The sequence below is a fragment of the Homo sapiens genome, chromosome 6, assembly GCF_000001405.40.
Source record: "Homo sapiens chromosome 6, GRCh38.p14 Primary Assembly".
NCBI classification, from domain to species: domain Eukaryota; kingdom Metazoa; phylum Chordata; class Mammalia; order Primates; family Hominidae; genus Homo; species Homo sapiens.
Window position 1 is genome coordinate 118,254,359 of NC_000006.12, and position 20,516 is coordinate 118,274,874.

At 38.3% G+C, this 20,516-nt stretch overlaps 1 protein-coding gene across 2 annotated transcripts in view; it reads left to right on the forward strand.

Moving 5' to 3' along the window:
- Positions 1 to 20,516, forward strand: part of SLC35F1 (solute carrier family 35 member F1) — a 410,408-nt gene that overhangs the window by 347,095 nt on the left and 42,797 nt on the right. For both annotated transcript variants that reach the window (NM_001029858.4, NM_001415931.1), the window contains exon 4: positions 12,637 to 12,796. In NM_001029858.4, coding sequence (NP_001025029.2) covers positions 12,637 to 12,796 — 160 coding nt within the window. The remainder of the gene's footprint in view (positions 1 to 12,636; positions 12,797 to 20,516) is intronic.

The window sequence follows — 20,516 nt, forward strand, 5'->3', positions numbered from 1 at the left end:
GCAGCCTCAAACTTCTGGGCTCAAGTGATCCTACCACCTCAGCCTCCCACGTGGCTGGGACTATAGGTGTGTGCCACCACGCCTAGCTTATTTTCGTATTGTTTGTAAAGATGGGGTCTCACTTTGTTGCCCAGGCTGGTCTTGAACTCCTGGCTTCAAGTAATCCTCCCACCTCCATCTCCCAAAATGCTAGTACAGATGTGAGCCACCACACCCAGCAATTTTTGCGGTTTTCTAACGAAACCTGGAAATAAACCTAGAAATAAAACCCAAAAAGTATAAGATGCTTTCCTCTGGCTTTTGAAATTATTTCTCCATACTATTATAATGTGGAGAGGAATCAAAAGTAATGCAAAATTAATGTAGAATTAATATTTTATCAGAAAACTTTTATTTCCTTCAATATGTGCTTTGAAATGTGTACTTGCTTTAATGTTACTGTTAATGTTCCTATGTTCATGAATTCTATAAATTAGAAGTACAAGTTAGAGTTTGGCTGACTTAAGACAACCACTTCTCCAAAAATACCCAAGGTAGCCACACAGTATCAGAAAATGAATGGTTCTAATTCTCATGCACTTTGTCTTATAACCTATACTTTATTTAATGTAAAAAATGCAGAGGAACACCCCCAACCAGTGACCATTTTTCAATAGCCTCAGAGTTTTCTCTCTCTTGCATGGTACTCTCAATGTAAGAGAGAGCTCACAGATGCTAGATTGATTTGAGGCTAATCCAGTCTAGACAACTTTGATGACTGGATCCTGTATAGTTTCTGCTCCACCTGGGCCTTGATTACTTAAGCTCATTTTATGTAAGGAGAATAGCAGGCCTGTGATCACATCCTGGCTCTGACATTGCCAGGTGACTTCAAGAAAGTTACCTACTATCTTTAGAACTCCATTTCCTCATCTGTAAAATGGGAAAAATAAGAACATGTATCAGGGAGCCTGGCATATAGTAGGCACTCAGTAAATGTTAATTCCTTGCTTTTTACTTTTAGAATCTGGTTCACTGATGATCAGAACTTGTTTTTAAAGCTGATAAAGGCTTTGATGATACCCGATGATCCTCAACAAGGAGGATCTTGCCCCCAGGACAGCTCTGCTCTCACCGAAGGCAGATTTCCCCGCAACTGAGCTAGAGAGCTTGTGTCTAATTATCTGTATGTTCCGGTCACCTAGATTTCTAGGTACTTGTCCCAGATTTTCAGTGCATGGCAGTGTCATTTCTTTCTTTCTTTCTTTTCTCCTTTGAGAGCTGAAGCCAAAAGTAAAGTGAATAAACTTGAGCAACTAGAAAGTTCGGATGACTGGCACAAGGGGACATATACAATTTACACATTTAAATTCCTATTGGTAGGAAAAGAAAAGTAGTTTGGTAGAAATATTTTTCTAAATCCAAAAAAATAGGGTATTTCCTGGAAAAGGGCTGTTATATATAGTTAGCACAGTGACACATTTGATTAGCTTAGCTCTCTTGGACAATGTGATGGAAACATGGCTTTATCCAACATGAATATTTTAAGACAGTAAAACCTAAACAGTAAATTCTAAGGTATAGGGTTTGGAAGGGGAGAGCGCTGTGAATAACATAGCTCTGAGAAGGAAAAAAAATCTCAGGGAGAGAGTGTAAGAGAGGTGGTGGCTGTCTACCAAAAAAGTTTGTTCCAGATGAAATATACTACTCCCTGGAATTACACTCCTGGTCAGATTTTCAGATGCCTCTGGGATGGTGACAAATCCAGGCCACAAAATTAAAATGGTTATTGATTGTATGTGAATGTATGTTCCACAAAATATTTTCTACTCTCTTCAGCTGGCCTGTCAGCTTAAAGAAGACTTCTGGTGTGTGTGTGTGTGTGTGTGTGTGTGTGTGTGTGTGTGTGTGTGTGTGACTGAAGTTTGTCCTTTTAAAGATCCTTCCCTGTTAACACTTCAGTTTTACTCACTGGAGATGAATTTATATATGTCACTTTTAGAAACATGGGAGAATTGCCAATTAGAAGCAGAGGAAGGGAGAGTGGGGAAATGTTCTCTTTCCTAGAATCACCTACCAGTTGCCTCAGGTTTAGCCTCTGACAGCTGGGCCACTTGAGGAGAGCTCTTTGCCTGTGATAGCCAGAGGGGAGCATTAATGAGGATCTGAAGACTGGCAGAGGAGTCTCTTTTGGGCACAGACCATTAGAAAGAGGGATGAGGTCACCTCATTATGCTCTGCTGGGATTGGAGAAGTTTTTTAAAAATAAACTTTTTAAAATAAACCATCAGCTTCCCTTGAAAACAAACCATCAGCTTCCCTTGAAAACACTGACCTGACTCTTGTAGATTTTTGCACTCTCATACATAACATATGTTGTTTTATATATTTTGAAAGAAGTACAGATGCTCCTGGACTTATGATGGTGTTACATCCCTATAAACCCATCATAAGTTGAAAATACTGTAAGTCAAACCATCCTAAGTTAGGGACTGTCTGTATATGCTCGAGAGAGGAAATTTGGAAACCACAGAGAATTTGGGCCATGGAGTTGTGAAGATTCAGTTATCCCATTCAAAGATAACCATTGTTAACATTTTATTCTTATAGATTCTAATTTTCTCCATCCAGAAATTTTTATGCCTAATACTATGATATGTAGATGTGTAATCAGGAAACAAATTTTTACATGAACATGTATGTCATCTAAAGCAAGCATGGTATAAAGGGAATGTAGAAGGACTCCTGTCCTTCCCATGATACCACCCAGGTCAGGGAAGACTTCCATTCCCTTCTAAAAGCTGAGATGATGGGAAAAAACTGTCTCTCTCTCTCTCTCTCTCTGTCTCTCTCCATCTTTCCATTCCCTACTTGCTCCACCCCAAAGAGGAAATAGCTAAAGTTAATATCCAGTAGGAGACTTTACCACTTGGTGGAGTTGTGATGCTTTAAAAGAAAACTAAAAGTTTTGAGGAAAAAAAAACTACAGTGCTTCATTTCTGCCTGCTCTATGTCCCTTGCTGGAAAGACCCCTGAAATACAGAGTCCAAGACCTGAAGACCATTTCCCCCAGGATATCTGGCTAAGAAAGTTGAGGCTAAGTTAAATTGGAGTGGGAGATGGGAGGCAACACTGCCTTCTCCAATCCAGGTCTAAAATTAATACAGCTGTTTGATCTCCATTGGTTCTTGGGGTCTTTTAGGTGAACCATGTAGAATACAACCAATTTGACCTACAAATGTGGCAGTTTCAAATGAATCAAGCTATTATTTTCTGCCAGTTAAATCCAAGAAGAGAGGAAAACTAGGTGATTGGGACCACAGCATCCAACATTAAAGAAGAAAACAGAACATGTAGTATTTTAGACACAAAAGACAGCCTCTAAATAGACATTTTATTAGAATGAAAACATAGTACTATACTCAGCTTTTCTGAAGGTAGTTAAAAGCCATAAGTTGAAGATAAAGAACAAGCATTGCCGAGTTGTTAGGTTTGTAAGTAGAAAATGGAAATGCTATGGAGATTTCCTGAAATCACTGTTCTTAATTTGCAGAGCAGTTTTCCAATCTTAGTTACCTAGATTTCCTTGTCATTTTCATCCATGTTGCAGAGCATATAAGTCAGAAAACATAAAATACCATAATGTACTAACTTTATTACACTCTGATTATTTTTTTCATGAGTTAAGGTAATTATTTGAACAGGTAAAACTGAAGTTACAGATTTGATCTTTTAGAATAAAGCACTTCCTGCTTTTATGGAAAGAAGTAACCTACTGGCCTTTTCCTGCACTTCTGGGCAAAGCTACTCATTCTTTTGAAAGTACAATGAATTTTGTTATTACTTTGGATTATTTTATGGAACTTTGCATAATCAACTCAGAAAAGCTAACAGTAGGCTAAAGTCTAACATTTAAGTGCTATGTGACTATCTAATTTTTCTAACGAAAACCCTCTATCTTGTTTATCTGACATCAATATCACTGTGCTCTTTTCGAAAAGGGTAATTTTTACCCAACTGATATTTTCCAGCAGTAAATACAAATATCCAAATTCAAAATTTCATTTGAAACTCCATAAAAGTTTGGAGAAAGATACAGATTTTCCCCCAAAGCCTTCATTTAACATTTGACAATGAGATAATGGATGTAAAAGCTCTTTGAAATCCCTGGGGATTTTTTAAGATGGGCAGGGATGTTGAAGACTAAAAAATATGGCAGTAAATTTCATCTGAAGGGAAAAACAGATGAGAATAGCCAAGATAATTCTGAAAACAATGAATAATGAAAACCAATTTGCCTTAGAAAACATTAAAAATGCATTGGTAAAGCTACAGCAATTAAAGCAACATGATACTGTTGGTAGTATGGTATATAACATGACCCTAAAATGGATCTTAATATATATAAAATATACTACAGAGAAAATATTGCAGAGCAACAAGAAAGGGACCGATTATTCAACAGATGCAGTGAGAAGGTTGACTGTAATAAGAAACTGAATTAGCTATTAACTTAATTTCATGCAACAAAATATTCTAGATGAATTAAAATTTTAAATGTTAAAAAAGGAATCATAAATAACTAAAAGAACACATAGATGACTTACCATAGTTGACTACTTCGCTGATTTGGGGAGAGAGAAGAAGTTTTTTTAAAATGAGCTTATAAATAAATATTTAAACCCATAATTTTTTTAAAGCTATAAAAAATTTTCAACAAATACGATAAAGGTCTAATAGCCTTAATAATATATAAAGATATTTTATATATCAGTAATAATACTAATACTTTAATAGAAAGAAAAAGTTTTGCTTCATCAGTAATCACATAACAAATTTAAAACAATTATAAAAGTTTATGTTTGATATAAATTGGCAATAAAAAAGATAATGTACAAATTGATAGGAGTACAGTAAGATTGGAACATTCATACTCTGAAATTGAACAAGTAAATAGCCACTAACTTTGTGGAGAAAATTTTGACAGTATGCATCAAGAGTTTTTAAAAGTGTATACTCTTTAGACCTATCATTTCATGGTTGGGAATTTATCCTAAGATAATATTCAGAGATATAGGCAGAAGCTCATATTTAAGTGTGTTGTTTGAAGCATCATTTATAATTCAGAAGAACAGGAACAAATAAAATCATCAAAAATACAAAAATGATTAAAATAGTACTTTATAAAAATATTGACAAATACCTCATTTAAAAATGGGCAAATAATTTGAATAGATATTTTTCAAAGAAGATACAAAAATGGCCAATAAGCATACTAAAAGGGGTTTAATATCATTTGTCACTAGAAAAATGCAAATCAAAATCATAAGGAGATACCACTCCACACCCAGCAGGATAGCAAAAATCAAAAAAAAAAATACAGTAACAAATGTTGATAGGATAAAGAGAAACTAGAACCCTTGTACATTGCTGATGTGATTGCAGAATGGAATGGACACTGGAAAAGAGTTTAGCAATTCCTCAAAGTGTTAAACACTGAGTTACTATATGACCTGGCAGGGCCACTTCTCAATATCTACCCAAAGAAATGAAGCCCACATGTTCCTCATAAAAGCTTGCTTGAAAATGTTCGTTGCAGTATTATTTATAATAACCCAAGAGTGGAAACAACCTAAATGTTCATCAACTGAGCAATGTGTAAGTAAAACATGATATATCCATACAGTGCAATATTATTCAGCAGTAAAAAGGAATGAGGTGTGATACATGAACAACATGGATGAACCATGAAAACATCATGTTAAATGAAAGAAACCAGTCACAAAGGGTCACATATTGTATGATTTCATTCATATGAAATAGTCAGAATAGGTAAATCCATAGAGACAGAAAGTAGATTCATGTTTGCCAGGAGCTGTGAGGAGAGAGGAATGTACAGTAACTGCTAGTGGGTATGGAGTTTCTTTTGAGGATGGTGAAAAGGTTCTGAAATTAGATAGTAGTGATGGCTGTACAACTTCATGAATACACTAAAAACCACTAATTGCATACTTTAAAAGGGTGAAATTTATAGTATATTTATTATATCTCAACAATGTTAAGCTAAATCTAATGATATGATAAAGTATCTATATTACAGGTTTAGGGTTTTTAATTTTTTTTAAAAAAGAAGGCAACTTCTTTTGGGTGTCTTTATCCTAAACTGGGAGTCCCTGGAGTGCAGGGACAGTTTTATCTACCTTATCACAAAGCCTGGCTATGCCCATATAAAGCAGTCACACAACAAAAAATTATTAAATAAATGAATGTAGTGTTTCCTTATGGTGTTATGAATTTCCTGAGGGAAGAAAGAAAGGATATCTTGTTCATCTATATATGCCTTCACTGTCTCCACTCAAAACCTGGGATTTGGTAAATGCCCAGTAAATGTTAGCTGAATGAAAGAATAAACTTTTCCTGGCTTTATTCTTCCTCTAATTCTGCAGTTCTCATGACTTCCTCACTACCATTCCGCTAATTTCATTTAACCTATTTCTTCTACAAAATATGAATTTTATCCCTGTAATATTAGTTGTGTGTATCTACGCCTTTGTCTGTGAATGTATTTAATTGACTTGTGTCTGTCTCTCTAATGTCTTTGTGATTATAACTGAATTTATAAAACTCTGAAGTTACTCTGTTCACTTGACTGGATGAGGCCAACTGGCACTTGAATGATGGTGATGATGCAATATTTTTGACCTACACAGATTCCATTGCACAATCACTCTTATAAAGTTATATGGTTGTGATAAATGCAATTGTACTACATGACTCTCAAAATTGATGCAAAGTGATTAAACAAAGAAAATAATATAAATTCTGTCCCCATGGCATGTCTTATAACCACACGAAGCCCAACAGCCTCACCTGTGGTGTGATACCTTAGTATCCAGTCAATATCATACTTGGCCTTGGATTCTCTCCTGAAACATCCAGAGGCCTTCCCTGGTGCTGACTGATGAAGGAATTCCATTTCATGAGACTTAGGCCATAAAAATATGCTTACTGCAAAATGGCCAACTATCTCCTCTTCTTGGATTTGGGCTGGCTCAAAATTATTCAGAACAACACTATATACAAATATGCATATATACATATGCATACACAAGCATAATAGTCAACACATTTTCTTTGTAGAAAATTTAAATTAAAGTGCACAGTGTCAGAGTAACAGAATGCAGGTCAGCAGGATTTAGGGCCCACGTGAACGCACACAGGGGCTGGGGCTTTGGGCTTTGGTAAACGCTCAATAAATGTCAGCTGAATGAAGAATAAACTTTTTCTGGCTTTATCTCTCCTTTAATTCTTGAACTCTCATGACTTCCAAGGGGGTTTTGCAGGAAAGAGCCAGAGAAACAGAGAAGAGAGTGAGGTTCCCTTGGATATTGAAGGGAGGGGGGCTGTAGCAGCTGGCCACCCACTTGGCAGGGGTGAGGCAGAAGCACCGATGACCCAGAGGACTTCCTCTCTCTGCTTTTCCTAACTCCCTCTATCCCACCCCTCTGGGGCTGGGATGTGCCAGCAGTTGCCCGAAGCCCCTGGTAGCATTGCTAAGGGGAGACAGCCCCCTAATCCCCATCCCATGTTACTGCTCCACAGCCTGTGCCTCTCCCTGCATCCCAGACTTAGAGTTGTGAACTCTTGTGGACCAAAGACTTGTAAAATATTCTGTAAAACCGGGATACAATTGGGGAGACACACCAGCTGTAAAGAGGGTTTGCAGCCTGAAGGCAGATCTCACAGACACTCAGAAAATGTTCCATCTTCATGAGACTGTCCACTACTGGGACAGCTTCATGACCGTGTTTGAGGGGGCTGCGCGCATCATGATGAGCACACTTTCGGAAGTGTGGGTGTCTAAAGCCAGGTTAAGGGGTCTGCGGAGTGCTGGCAAAGGAAGGGAGCATCCACAGAAGTCCAAAGAGAAGCTCGAGTAGATTTTGGCAGGAAGGAAGGGATGGGATGCGTGTGTGCAGGAGAGGGCATAACCAAATGTGATTAAAGGCCACAGAGAAAGGCACAGTGATAAGATGGTCAGAGATCAGCTGGAGTGGAAAAGAAAAAGAGGTAGGGAGAAAGAGGGGAAATTAAATGACGCTTCAATCTTCCTGTACATATACATATTTTTAAAATTTTAGTGCTACTTAATGTTGACTGTCTTCTGTTGTCTTAAAAGTAATGTCAGCATGAACCTTTTTTATTTAAATAACTTTTGGAAGCTGCACTTGAACTCCGATCTAGCAGTCCAGACGCTAGTGTTTTAGCCCCAGTTCTAATACTAATTTGCTTTTCTCTTAGACCATCAGTTCCCTTATTTATAGAGTAGATACAGTCATAACTCCCTTAAAGGGCTGTTGTGAAGATTTACTTTGTCTACCATAAAAATAACATAATCGTTTTTACAAACTGTAAGTGCAAACTTAATGCAACCAACTGTAAATGTTGTTTAAAACTACAGGGTTCAAGCTGGGCGCTGTGGCTCAGGCCTGTAATCCCAGCAGTTTGGGAGACTGAGGCAGGAGGATTGCTTGAGCCCAGGAGATTGAGGCGAGCCTGGGCAATATAATGAGACCCCATCTCTATTTAGAAAATGAATTTAAAAAAAAACTACAAGGTTCAAATTGTAATCCTGTTGCTATCACCATGACTTCAGAGACTTTTCTCCAGCCATTGTGTACTGTGTGCCTCCATGTCTCTATCTTTTTGTTTGTTTTGTTCTGTTTTGTTTTGTTTTGAGACAGAATCTCACTCTGTTGCCCAGGATGGAGTGCAGTGGTACAATCTCAGCTTCTTGCAACCTCTGCCTCTCAGGTTCAAGCGATTCTCCTGCCTCGGCCTCCCAAGTAGCTGGAATTACAGGCATGCGCCATCATGCCTGGCTAATTTTTGTATTTTAGTAGAGACAGGGTTTCTCCATGTTGGCCAGGCTGGTCTCGAACTCCTGACCTCAAGTGATCCTCCCGCCTCAGCCTCCCAAAGTGCTGGGATTACAGGTGTGAGCCACTGTGCCCGGCCGTGTCTATAAAATTAGAAAACAGAATCGTAGACACCTCTGGCATGTGTTGCCTAAGGATTCAAGGCATAAGGAGAATAAAATTCGTTTAAATCCTTAGGGGGAAAAAAGGAATCTATGTAAATCTAAGAGTAATAAACACTTCACTTTTCCATTAAAGTATTTTTAATGTCCTTGGAGATTTTTCAGAGCATAAGATGGTTATAAAATAATATTTGTTTATTTTTTCATATGGATATTTTATAATTTCTTTTTAGATTCAGAGATGTATGCAAAGAAAGTTAAATCTACTGAAAAGATTAATGGCAATCAGAAGAGGAGTTTTTGTTTGTTTGTTTGTTTGTTTTCTTTTTTAACAGTTTCAGTTATAATGCTTCTCTTTTCTACTTCTCTAACAACCACTTAGCCAAGGAATTAAGCTACGAGAAAACTGTTGAAAAATTATTTTGTCAGTATGTTTTATGTTATGTGACCACGAGGGGAAAGCTGAAGGCAAAAATCACTAAAAAAGAATAGCCTGTTTACTAAGAGCAGCTGCCAAACAGTTTCTCTTCAACAGTTACAGATGCCATGGTGAGAGCTTCAGCTGTAGCAATTAAATATTCCTGTCATTGACCTTCACTAAAACATTGTCCAAAAAATTATTATGACATAACTTCTGCTGATACTAACAATTTGTGTGACCTTGAGCACATCATTTCACCTCTTAGGACTTAGGAAGCCTCAACTATTAAATACAAGGGTCTTGGTGATTCTAAACTGAGGAGATACTGCCCTCCAGGGGCGTTTGCAAATGTGTAGAATGTTTAACGGTCAAGGCCCAGCAATGCTAACTGCCCTGCAGAGAGCATGAGACAATCTTGCAAAATCAGTTGTCCCACCCTAAATGCCAGTAGCAACCTTGATTATCTCTAATGTCCCTTCTGACAGTCAGTGATACCATATGTCTGACAATTCATTGATTTATTCAGCCACCAATTACTGAGGCCCCATTGTATGATAAGCACCAGGCTTCTCTCCTCAAATGCCCCAGAAACACTGGCTTGATTGTATCCTTCTTTAAGAAAAATTATGATTATATTCTTCTTTCCCTTCTCTTCTTTCTAAAAGTTTGCACTTACCCACAGGACCACCTGACACTTACAAATAAGGATTTTCCAACTCAAACCATTAGAGGAATAGATCTCAGGACTCATCAAGTGCTTTGGCTTTTCTAATGACACTGAGAACCTAAAAGCTCACTTCAGCTCTCCTCAAAGATTGGACCATGGCCTAGCTTGCCCTCAATAATTCAGGAATAGAGGCCTTCAGCTCCACTGACTGAGGGCTTCCAGCCAGATAATGAAACCCTAATTCTGTAGTGTGCAGCTAAATATTTCAACTTGATTCAATCATTTTTAATTTTTAACACAAAACACCAACTGTTTTATGCCCAGTGAACAGTTTTCAATGACAAACTGAAATTTCCTAATACACTGAAATAGCATCTGAGGCTAGCTGTAAAACCTACCTTAGAGCATATTACCACATCATTAACTCACATTGCTAATTAACTGCAGTGAGCAACTGTGTGCTGTAGTACAATCCTACCTGCCACCACCTCCTTCCTGTAGCCCCTCCAAGAGTGCTGTGACCTTTGGGCTCAGCCCCCAGCCATCACAGTGCTACTTAGCATTCACGTGGTCCTTCCTCACCTTATCATCTCAGCAACCTCAGGGATAGCTTACTATTCTGAGTGCTTGTTTCATTTTGCAGAGGAGAAGACCAGTGCACAGAGAAACATGAGCATCTGTCCAGGTCACAAAAAGCTTTGGGGATAGAGGGGATTCACAATGCTATTTGCAGTGCCAAGAAGCCACTCTGATGTTCAGGGATGCTTTGCAAATACGCAAACCTTTTCCAGCCTTCAGTGAATCTTGGAGACTCTATTTTGATGTTTCTGGTCATTAAAAATCTTTGTATATATTTGTTCAATAACTCTTATTGAATACTCCTCTTAATCCCTGCAGTGTTCTGATGCCAATAATCCTGTGCTAATTAAGTACTATTACAATTGGAACTACAGAGGAGAAGTACAGCATTCAACAAAAGCATCAAACAGGACTCGACCTAGCCTGGGGATCTAAGAGGCTTTCCTGAGGAGGCAAATTATAAGTGCAGGCCTGAAGGATAAAGGAGGAGGAAGTTCAAGCAGTGGAGCTCCTCCAGAAGGAGGAGTGTACATAAGTGAAGGCCCTGGGGCATGAAGGAGAGGCTTGTTCCATGTAGCAGAGGATGTTAGCTCAGTCTAGGTGGCAGAAGTGGGAGAGGGTGGCATGAGTAGATTTGAGAGATGTTTGGAAGATTAAATTGGCAGAATTTGGTAATCAATAGGATATAGGCAATGAAAGTGAAGGAGTATTGAGGATCACTGCCCTGTACTGGCAGCTGGGTGGTAGAGGCCACTTGTTTAGAATTCCAGCAAGGAGATATACTGGATGGTTGGACAAATCATAAGTTCCTCATGTGGTACAAGGAACTTGCAGTTCTATGTGACATCACTTTGTCTAAGAAAGACCCTGTCTTGGATAGTGTATCCAGAGGTCTTACCACAGTGTGGTAGAATCTGAATTAGTTCCATGGAGCCCAAAGAGTGTGTTTGAAAGCAGAGTTATAGACCAGCAATGAGGGCCTCGTGATTTAAGAATTACTTTCATATGTAGTATCTCTGAGGTTCATGCTGATCTTTGGGGAAAGTTGTTATCTTCATTTTACTAACAGAAATTTGAGGCTCCTGAGCTTGTGATTTGCCCAAGGTCACATAGCTGTAAATGAGAATCTGTACTCAAATTCAGGTCTTCTGGCTCCTAGCACAGGGGTCTTCTCATTTCACCACATTATCTCTCTACATAATTGGGGCAAATTCTCTATCAACTCTTTGGACTTACATGTCAGATGGAATCTCACTATTTGTACAAAATATATAAAAAATGAAATCAAATTTTTTTGCTATACTCTATTCAACTTTCTTTAAAAAATTTTTTTTCTAATAGTTCTTTTAAGTATTTCTACTTTTGAGACTCATATTTGTATTTATATTTAGAGCACTTTTTTATTTTAAGAATGAAATGACAAGAACAGATCAATTTTTACTGGTAGCAGGAAGACAGCTGTCCAGGAGAAATTAAATTCAACTTTTGTCTAATTTCTAATAATTCATAAAACATTATAAGACCTCTGCACCCTCATCTCCCATTCCCGGATCTACTCGTAAAATAGGGGGACAATGTAAAAAGGCTGGGTGTACTGTCCCCGAACCAAAGATGTTCCCATGGAGCATGGCCTGGCCCTGAGGAAGACAGGAGGCAGAGCTGCCCCAGCACCTGGAGGCAGGAGACTCTTCACCACCAGCCTGTCTTATCAATTTGCCTTCTCCCCTTTCCCTTAAAGTTTGGGGGATGTTTACAATTAAGTAAATAAATAAAGCTAATTTCCATTTATTTCAGAGTCTGTTTTAAGTACATCAAGTCTGGGTCTACACAAAATCTCAGGTTCAGGGGAAAGGCAGAACCCTTTCTGCAGAACTAAATTACTTTTCCCTACTACATGGAATGCTTCCTCCTGAATCTCCTGTTGTTGTTTACCTTCATCCCTCCCAATAGCTCCTGGACTGTTTTGTGATCCCAGTCGTGATTTTGCTCTCCTGGTTCTTCCTGCTGATCCGGTACAAGGCTGTGCATTTCATCGGCATCGTTGTCTGCATCCTGGGAATGGGCTGCATGGTGGGAGCAGATGTGCTTGTGGGAAGACATCAGGGAGCAGGTGAGTCTTCGGATGTTCACCAGGTTCCTTACCTCTGCGGGTGAGGCCAAGGCAAGAAATGGAATGTTCATAGTTGGGTGAAAACAAGGACCTTAGGAACCTGGATTTCCCACTATCTGTGTCCTGTTCATGTCTGTTCCCCACACCTGAAACAGGGCACACAGGAGGTGCTTAATGCATGTTTCTTGAGTGCATGAGTTTGCAAAATACAGCTTTCATGCCCTTTCTGCATCCATTCAGAAACATGCAGACAGTGTTTAAAACTGAGAGTCATGACCTACCAAGAAGATGTTTTGGAGGTCAGTCCGTTCCTGAACCAGCTGCCTGGCCCAAGCCCTGGTCCTTGGTAGAGTTGGTGGTAATGAGCTAATTCACTCCTGAGCCACAGGGCCTTCCACACATTTCCCCAACCCCAAACCTTTCTCTGTCAAGCCAGAGAAAGACTGAGCTTTCAAACTACTGGGTGAAGGTTGGTTTATAGGCCCACGAGTAAATAAAGTTTGAGGACTAGTTAGGAGTGCTCCATAATTTTAGGAGGGAGAGTTAAGTTCAGTCTTCTCACACATGGTTTTTAATTTGCTTTGCGAGGAGGGGTTATTGGTATCAATTAGAGTTTATAAACCCATAAGGTAAAGCTGCATGATTCACTCATCAAATTGCTGTGAATCTGCTGGGGGAGCCCTGAGTCAGGGTGGTTTCCAGAAGACCCTTTTTAAAGCATTGCAATTCTTTAAAATATACCAAAATTTTAGCTACAGAAGGGTTTTTGGAACAGAAAAAAAATGACCTTCTTTGTTAACATTAGAAATGGGATAGAAAGTACCCACTTTTCTATAGTTCTTGGAATTGCCCCTTCTTCTAGGAAATTAGATGATAAAGAGTCAAAAGTGGACCGTTTCTCTTTATGAGACAAGGTCACGTTAAGTCTCTGAAACAATGTCATGTATGTTGTACCATAGAACTTTATAACTGAAAAGGACCTTGTTCAACTCCTTTGTAATTGACATATGTGAACACCAAGATCCATCCAAACCAAGTGAGTTGCCCAAAGTCACAGAGCTGACAAAGCAGAGACTGGAACACAAGGCCCCCGGCCTCCAGGGCAGGCCTCTTTCTCTGTCCCATGTTGCTGGGAGCTGAAGATACAACATAGAACAAAAGAGAGACAGCCTCAGCCTCACACATCCACACCATCTACACAACACCATCAGTCCCCACTTCAATAGAAATCTGAAAATAAATACCTCAGTGTTTCCCAGATTCTCTTCTATGAAACACTGGTTCCATGACATATTGATAGACGTCATATGAAAAGGCCAATATTATGCTATATACATGTAGTAATGTTGATATGAATAATCTTTTTGGACCAATCAGATAATATTTTTGTCTTATACAATGTGGCCAGTTGTTCTAAAGTCATATATATGTATATATATATATATATTTTTTTTTTTTTTTTTTTTTTTTTTTGAGACAGAGTCCCGCTCTGTTGCCCAGGCTGGAGTGCAGTGGCGTAATTTCAGCTCACTGCAACCTCCACCTCCCGGGTTCAAGTGATTCCCCTGCCTCAGCCTCCCAAGTAGCTGGGATTACAGGCACCTGCCACCACACCCAGCTAATTTTTGTATTTTTAGTAGAAACGGGGTTTCATCACATTGACCAGGCTAGTCTTGAACTCCTGACCTCAAGTGCTCCACCAGCCTCGGCCTCCCAAAGTGCCAAGATTACAGGCATAAGCCACTGCGGCCGGCCTAAAGTTGTAATTTCATTACACTTTCTCAGCTTTCCGCACACTGTGTAAACACAGGCTAAGCAGAAGCAAGTACCCTTAGTTATAAAAACTCTATCTTCATGAACCCCAGCCATTCATCTTGGCCATCATCTTGCATTCGATAGTCAACTATAAAGATGAACATTTAAGCCTAGAATGTTAAGCTAATTTGAATTGATTTCACTAGATTGTATTCATTAATCCTGTAAAAAATGTTGTTTTGATTTTAAATGAAGTGTTAGAAAAGAAGCAAAACTGCTTAAGAAAAAGAAAGTAAGTCTGTTAGAGAGTCTTTCCAAAGTGTCATTTTTAAAAAAACAATGTAGATGTGGCTAAAACATACTGGAGTGGAATTTGGTTTCTCCATGTGAATCTGCTTAAGGCCCACAGCATCATTGCTTTTGTGATATACAAAGCATCAGTGTTAACAGAATTAAGCTTTATCATTGTGGAGCACCTTCTGTGCTATTGAAATGGTGCCCAAGTACATAGAATGATGTTTTAAGACCAGCCCAGATATAGGATCCAAGGACTCATTTTATAAAATTATGATTGGACATGCTCTGCCTCTATAAAAATATTAAAGTAGGCAGCAATTTAAGCCATCACAGAGAACATATTTTTTTAAAGAAAAAAAAACCCACTGGTTTTGAGGTCAATAGAATCCTAAAATTGTTACATATCATTATCAAAAATATTCCTTTTTTTTCATGTCTATGGCAGAGTTGGTTCAATTGCATTAATCAGCCAGGGTCACAAAACTTTTCTAAAATACTGCAGGTACTCACCAGAACATAAGTCAGGCATCCAAGTCCATATAAGATGTCATCACCAGGCCAGGCACATTCAGAAATCCCAACGACTCAAGAGGCCAAGGCAGGAGGGTCACTTGAGGCCAGGAGTTAGAGATCAGCCTGGGCAACACAGTGAGACCCCATCTCTACAGAAAAAATTAGCCAGCATGGTGGTGTGCACCTATAGTCCTGCCACTTGGGAGGCTGAGGCGGGAGGATCGCCTGAGCCCAGGAGTTTAACGTTATAGTGAGCTATGATTGCACCACTGCACTCTAGCCTGGGCAACAGAGCAAGACTCTACCTCAAGAAAATCACAGTAATAATAAAATTATCACTGTATTAACAATTTTGCACAGGAAAAGAGACTGTCTGACTTCATCCTTTTTATAATGCTTAATCTATGTTTCATCTTCGTTTGGGATTTTGACAATTCTGTCTCCAAGCACATTGATGTCGGCCCTTTCAAAGTTTCTTTGACTTCATTATAATTAAAGCAATTGCTTTAATTCCACTTCGTCAGCATGTTTCTTCATTAGCTATCCAGAAATTCTTTGTTTTGATTTAAGTCTGGCTGAAGGAAACTTCTTAGATGGCATTAAGTACTTCATGTACAAAATATAAGTTTAAGGGCACAGAATGATGTGCCAGGAATAGGGCTTTTGATGAAACTTGACCAGCAAGTTTTCCCACTCTAGACAGAGGTGGAGAGAAAGCATCCTAGTCCCCAGCCTGGAAGACTCTGCCTTAGAGACTATAGAGTGGTATATGTGTTGGGAAGGATGCGAACAGCACTTATGTTCTCATTCTATGTTTGTCACCTGTACAACTCATCACCCACTATAGGATGCTTCCACGCCTTTGAGCTCACTTGAAGGAAATGTCTTTTCCAAGCTTACTGGTAAAAAATCAGTGGGCTTAATATGTGTATTCTCTTTGTCACCTTGGCTCCATGTCAGCAGTATAGGCCTCCTCCAAAAGACCATCTCTGCATTTACTGATGTGCAGGGCAATAGGCAATAGAAGTGGCTTCTGAGAATATTATAACTATTATAGATGTGTTGGAGTGTGTAAAAATGACTTAGTAAAGTTGAAAAGATTCAGCACCAGGACTTCTCTGCTTGCCTGGGAAAACTTAATGGATATAAAAGGCAAGGTTAGAAGGTAATAAGATTAAGATAAAACCTAATCAAAATAGCTCCTTGTTATGAAATATCCTTCTCGCCCTTCAAAATATCCTTTTCTAACACAATACATTTATTGCATCTTTTAGTTCATTTATCAAAGATGTTAGATGCCAACAATAATTTTTTATTACACTTACTTTTACATTTATTTCAAGGAAAGGAAAATATTTTCAAGGAGCCAGGTAATCAAACACAATCAAGTAAAAATGACACTTTTTATTGAGTGCCCACAGGTGTCAGGTACTTTATTATATATTATTTCATTTAATCCTCCTAACTATGCAAAGAATTTTTATTGTCATTCTTGCAGCTGAAGAAATCAAGCCTCAGAGAAGATAAGCAATATGTTTAAGGGCACACCATCACCAAATTACGTGGCCCAGATATGAAATTTAGCCATTATTCTTTTTGCTGTAACACTTAGTCCTTATTTTTCCATAATTGTGACTTCTACAACAAATGTAAAGACGTTTTATCATAGTAAATTAGTGTAAGTGACTGCCCTAGGTTGCCCAGAATGGAGAAGTTCCCCAGATGTGGAACTTTTAGTGCTAAAACCAACAGAGTCCCAGGAAAACAAGATAGTTGGTTCCCCCTATTTGAGAGGCAGATGTATTCAATGGGATGGATACATTTTCAGGAACTGCACTGATAGTCTTTCAACACTCTAGAATAATATAACTCACCATTTATTTCTTGTCCTAGTAGTAAGTCATGATTTCAAATAGCCTTCCTTTTTCCTCCCACCACCACGCATACACAAACATGTCTCCAAACATGATGTTTCTAGTACTTAAACAAAAATCGGATAAGGAAAGCCAGTTTTTGCAAAGCAATTATGACTAGGTTGATTGGAATCAAGGAGCAATCCAAAATGAGAAATGCCCAACCCAAAGAGACAGGTGCTTCAGGAAATAATTTATTCACTTTTTTAAACTACCATTTAGTGAACACTTACTAAGTGTCAGATACAATGCTAAGCATTTTACATGTCATATTTTATTTTATTCTCACAGTAACCTAATTTTAATATAAGGAAACTGAAGTTCAGGAAGACTCTGTAGTTTTCCCAGTATTACACAGGTAGTAAGTGATAGAGATGTGATCAGACCCAACTCTACCAATAAATTGAAAGCTGTTCTCACTGAAAACATTTACCATAGGATGTATTAAGACTTGTTCAGTCAGCTCAATTCATGTAGCCTTTTATTGAGAATGTATAATGCTGCAGGATTCATGCTGGAGACCACACAGAATATACAGCTGAGTGAGCCACAGTCCCTGCCCTTCAACCATGATTTGTAAGAGAACAGTTGGCTGCGGGGAAATGAGATACACAAGTTAACAAGTAACAGACAAGGAGTGGAGTATGGTGGGTGCCATAGACAGATACCAATGCTGTGAAATTCAGAGGAGGGAGAGAACTATCGGTTTGGGTAGACACTTCATAATTTTAAACATGTCCATTTACCCAAAATTTGTAAATCATTATCACGTATTGTGGTTTTATACATACATAAATGACAGATGTTCTAGCATAACTTTCACCATGAACATTGTGCAAAAATTGCTATCACCGTGTCAGGCATCTACTGCATTAGCTGTGCATAAACTATGTTAATATTTTATATGTTATTAATGCAATATGTTATAATTTCCAGTTAACTAGATACAAATTTTTTTTCTGCTGCTTATTTTAATAGGTAAGAAAAAACAGCTTTAGCTAAGCAAACTTCTTAACAGAGGAAATATAATTTTATAGTAAAGGGTTGATTGAATAAATCTCATTAAAACATATTCTCCCTGGATTAAAAAATATATATGTGTGTGTATATATATATACATATATATATATATGTATATATATATACCATTTTTTAGCATAGAAATTTAGACCTACAAAAAATGAGAAAATGTAGATAATAATTTTTCCACCTGGAAATAACTAGATACAAATTTTAGGCACAAAATATTAGTCTTAGTACCTACACTTTTTATTATATCAAACACTTCATTATATAATATAATTGGATAAAATTATGTTCTGGTTAATTTAATTATGTTTAATTAACTAAATTTTAATGTATGTTATATGTATAGGTACCTACTTTCAAATGACTTAAAAACTGACAAATATAATTATCAGCAAATTATAATAAATAATATTTAATCTTTTTGTTAGTGATAACTTAGAAAATACTTGTGAACTTGTGGTTACACAAAATTGTGTTGTGATGATCAATAATTATTACTGAATTGGTGAAAACTCAAAGTACTGATGAGTATATTTCCTACAGTCAAAGGCTAGTTAACAGAAGAGGCCATAACAGTGTGGCGTTTGAAAAATATTGGTGAGACTATTCACTGAAACAGTGTGTCCTCTTTTTAGGACTTTTAAAAGGTAGATTGATGCTTCCCTAATTTCTATTAAAATATTTCATTATGATTTAGCTTTCTTCAATTCATTCTATAACATTAAATTTATTAACCAAGAGTTATATTATGCAGCACTTCCACACTTCACTAGTACAACAATAATTGATATTCATAATAATGACCCCATGTCATCACAAGATTCTAAAATGTCTTCTGAGTGAAGAGACTGGATCATGTTCATTATAATTTTACAATTTTAGTTATAGATACATTCTATTTTATGGGTCATTCTTCAGAGGAACTACTTAAAATTAAAAGTTTGTCATTGTTTTATAGTTGACACATAAAAAAGATTAATCAGGTTGCCAAAGATTTCACATTCTGTCACAGCAACCTTAATTTTCCTAAAAGATCTGCCCAGGGACCTCTCACCAAGTCTGGTTTCTCATTAGGGCCTCATCAGATTCTCAGCTCATCTCCTGGGCAGTGATGCCTAACTCCCCATGAACCCAAAGAGAACTTCCAGCTCTCACAAAATCCCATTCTCAGCTCCATTCCCTTGAGGATGACTCCAGCACAATGCTGCCTTCAGGATCTCTTCCCCTCTATCTCCAATCCTTGACAGGAAAAAGAAGTTGCCTTAGAAAAAGTGGCACCATTTAGAGATAGAATCTTCCAAGGTGACCACAGATTCTTTGATGTGAAGCCACTGATTCTTTGATGCCCAGATTCTTTGATGTGAAGCCACTACCTAAAAACACTCAGTGCTCCCCACTGAACAGTGAGAACCCAGGCTCATCGGGGAATCCAGGGCTAAGCTATCATGAGTCCTTTCCTTAGAATCATGCTGGAGTAAGCACCCTTTCCATCCTCAACTTCCACTGCCCCAGAGCTGCAGGTCAGCTGAGCTCCTGCACTGCTGACTTATGCAGGACAGAGCCAGAGACCACTTGGGTACAGAGCCCACCAGTGAGGCCACTCTAGCTGCTTATTTCTGCTCTCCTCCTTCCCTGGCTCCATACTTCCTGGAGTGGGAAGTTTGCCCAATTCTAGGAAATACCTGGGTAAAGCATTTATTTTGTTTTAAATCAACCAAAATTGAGTTTATTTTTATTTATTTATTTATTTATTTGAGACAGAATGTCACGCTTCCCCCAGGCTGGAGTGAAGTGGCATGATCTCGGCTCACTGAAACCTCCACCTCCCGGGTTCTGAGGGATTCTTCTGCCTCAGCCTCCCAAGTAGCTGGGATTACAGGCACCCGCCACCACATCTGGCTAATTTTTGTAGTTTTAGTAGAGACAAGGTTTTGCCATATTGGCCAGGCTGGTCTCGAACTCCTGATGTCAGGTGATCCACCCGCCTCGGCCTCCCAAAATGCTAGGATTACAGGCGTGTGCCACCACGCCCAGCCCAAAATTGAGTTTAAAACAAAAAGAATTTTTAATGAAAAAATATTAATGTGATAGTGAATTACATATATTTACACTCTTATGTTACTTACCTCAGGGGAGTTGAAAATTTCAACCCATAAATCCTTTCACTCTCATTTTCTAACAGTTACACATTTTGCCCATGGTCAAAGTGCAAT